The sequence below is a fragment of the Homo sapiens genome, chromosome 2 (assembly GCF_000001405.40).
Source record: "Homo sapiens chromosome 2, GRCh38.p14 Primary Assembly".
In the NCBI taxonomy this organism is placed as follows: Eukaryota; Metazoa; Chordata; class Mammalia; order Primates; family Hominidae; genus Homo; species Homo sapiens.
This window is the reverse complement of record NC_000002.12, coordinates 119,085,126-119,087,546: the sequence shown is the minus strand read 5'-3', so window position 1 is coordinate 119,087,546 and position 2,421 is coordinate 119,085,126. Positions and strand designations below refer to the sequence as shown.

The following is a 2,421-nucleotide window of genomic DNA, read 5'->3' as shown; positions in this document are numbered from 1 at the left end:
GAGTCACGGGTGAGGCCAGTCCTGTGTGCCAGAGGTCATCCAAACCCCAGCACCCACAGGGATCTTCCTAGATACCCTACTATCCCCAAACTAAGAACATCCCTTCTCCAGCCTTTCAGACGATGTCTTTCCAGCACTGGTGTCTCTTTGATGAATGGGGAATGACATTGCTGGTGCCACTGATGTGACTACACCTACGCCCACCCCCGACATGGTAGCCATCATCTCAATAAAACTCAGTAACACCAACCTTCTGAAACAAATGGGACAAGTCATGGCCTCTTTTTACTCCTTTTTCCTTGGTCTATAACTTCATTTGCTTTTTAGTGTCATGAGGGCAGTGGCATAGGATTATGAAGCCTGGAGCCTTACACCCAGAGATTTTGATTTAATTGGCTGAGGGATAGCCAGAAAGCTTCAAAGAAGTTTCCATGTGACTCTGCTGTGCAGTTGAAATTGAGAGCCACGGATAGTCCAACACCTAATTTCACTCCCCTGCCCCCACAATCTGCTGCTACAAACAAAGCTTCAGGCACAGGTGACATTTGGCTGGAATTGCTGTTCCTCTGTCTTTATTTCTTGACTACCTAGATCCAGAAACTGCTTGATTTTCACATCTGTTATCTTATTTGATCTGCAGAAATGAGCTGGATGGAGATATATTTTGTTGGTAGAATGGGCCTAACCTCATAAGACCTTGTTGTTTTAGGATCATCTTTTAGGATAATCCCCTTTCTGCTTCCCTTGGCCTTGGTAAGGATTCAGAAAGCAGGGAGGCTCAGAAAACATGTACCCTAAGCATTGCCCCCAGCCCCTCCACTGACAGCTCAAATTGGGCGACTGAAGCCACTGTCGAACTTCAAGGTATCTTTGTACCGAGCTCATCAAAAAGCAAACACTCAGGCACTTGAATAAGATAAGCAATTTGTGGCTTTGTAAAAAGTCAATGCAATTCAATTTAGACCTCTTAAGGAGTGCCGCTGCCTCTCACATGTATTGTTTCCTTGTATAACCTGCTCCACCGAAGGGACTGCAGATTCGTCTTCTGTTTGCGAAGTGGGATGAAGTCCCTGGAACAAGTGACCTTCAAGAGCTGCACAAAACTTATAAATGAAGCTGTCGCCAAGAAACCTCATTCTTGCCTCAGCTCACAGCTTTCTTCCTTTATATAGATTTGATTTTCCAAATGGCAGATTATAAAACTAGCTATTTTTTTCATCCTAAACACAAATGCTTTAATTTCTTGTCTTTTTTTTTTTTTAAACAAGAGTGATGTTTTTAAAATGCAATCTCCACTCTAATCTTTACCACTTTTGAAAGGCTCCATTTTTTTTTTTCTCTTTTAACCCACGAAGTTATCTTTGGTGCCGGGGGCAGTACCCCTGGAATGTTCCTTTGTCCTCTCAGCTGTCTCAGGCCGGAGGTGGATGTTTTTTCTTGCTATTTGTTATTCTTTTTGTCATAGAACAGATTGCTCTTGGCTTCTCTTTATTTGCTCCTTTGTTGGTTTATTTAGAAAATAGGGCCAGTGTAGTCCTACCATGTCAGACAAATCCAGGGAAAATGAGAATAATAATTTTAAAATTACTGTTAGTGATCATCTACAATATGCCAGATACTGCACTTGGTGTTTTACATGTGCTTTTAAGTTTAATCCTTGCGGGCCAGGTGCAGTGACTCATGCCTATAATCCCAGCACTTGGGGAGGCCGAGGTGGGCGGATCATCTGAGGTCAGGAGTTCAAGACCAGCCTGACAAACATGGAGAAACCTTATCTCTACTAAAAATAAAACATTAGCCAGGCATGGTGGCGCATGCTTGTAATCTCAGCTACTCGGGGGGTTGAGGCAGGAGAATCACTTGATCCTGGGAGGTAGAGTTTGCGGTGAGCTGAGATCAGGCCATTGCACTCCAGCCTGGGCAATAAGAGCAAAAACTCTGTCTCAAAATAATAATAATAATAACAATAATAATAATAATAATCCTTGCAACAGCACTGTGAGATAAGTATTGCCAGCTTCATCTAATTGATGAGGCTCAGAGACAGGTTATGCAACTTCCTGAGGTCACACAGCTCCTAGATGCCAAAGCTAGAAGTCAAAAGCATGTCTGGCTAAATCCTCAGCAAGATCTCCAGTACTTCACAGATGTTGCTTCCTGCTTAGTTCCTCATGCCTGGAATGCAAGAGCTTCTTAGGTAGCACCTTCTCATATAGCTTCTCCTGGCCCATATCCCTGGGCATCCAAAGCCACTTGCTTGAAGAACTCCAGAGACCAAAGGGTGGCAGTTTTGGAAGTTTTCTCTTTGATTTCATTGTCACGTCTATATTAATGTTAGGCTTCTGCATGATCATTAGTGTTGCAACTTAACTCTGCTTGAGATGTTTTCACCCACATTAGAAGCATCCTTGCCTCTCTTGG

At 43.2% G+C, this 2,421-nt stretch overlaps 1 annotated feature.

The window, feature by feature from the left end:
• Positions 1,694–1,860: a silencer, noted in NCBI's record as "fragment chr2:119843263-119843429 (GRCh37/hg19 assembly coordinates)". NCBI's record gives its function as "represses an EF-1alpha promoter that drives an FKBP-Casp9 reporter gene in an ReSE screen in HepG2 liver carcinoma cells {active_cell/tissue: HepG2}" and the evidence as "EXISTENCE:reporter gene assay evidence [ECO:0000049][PMID:32094911]".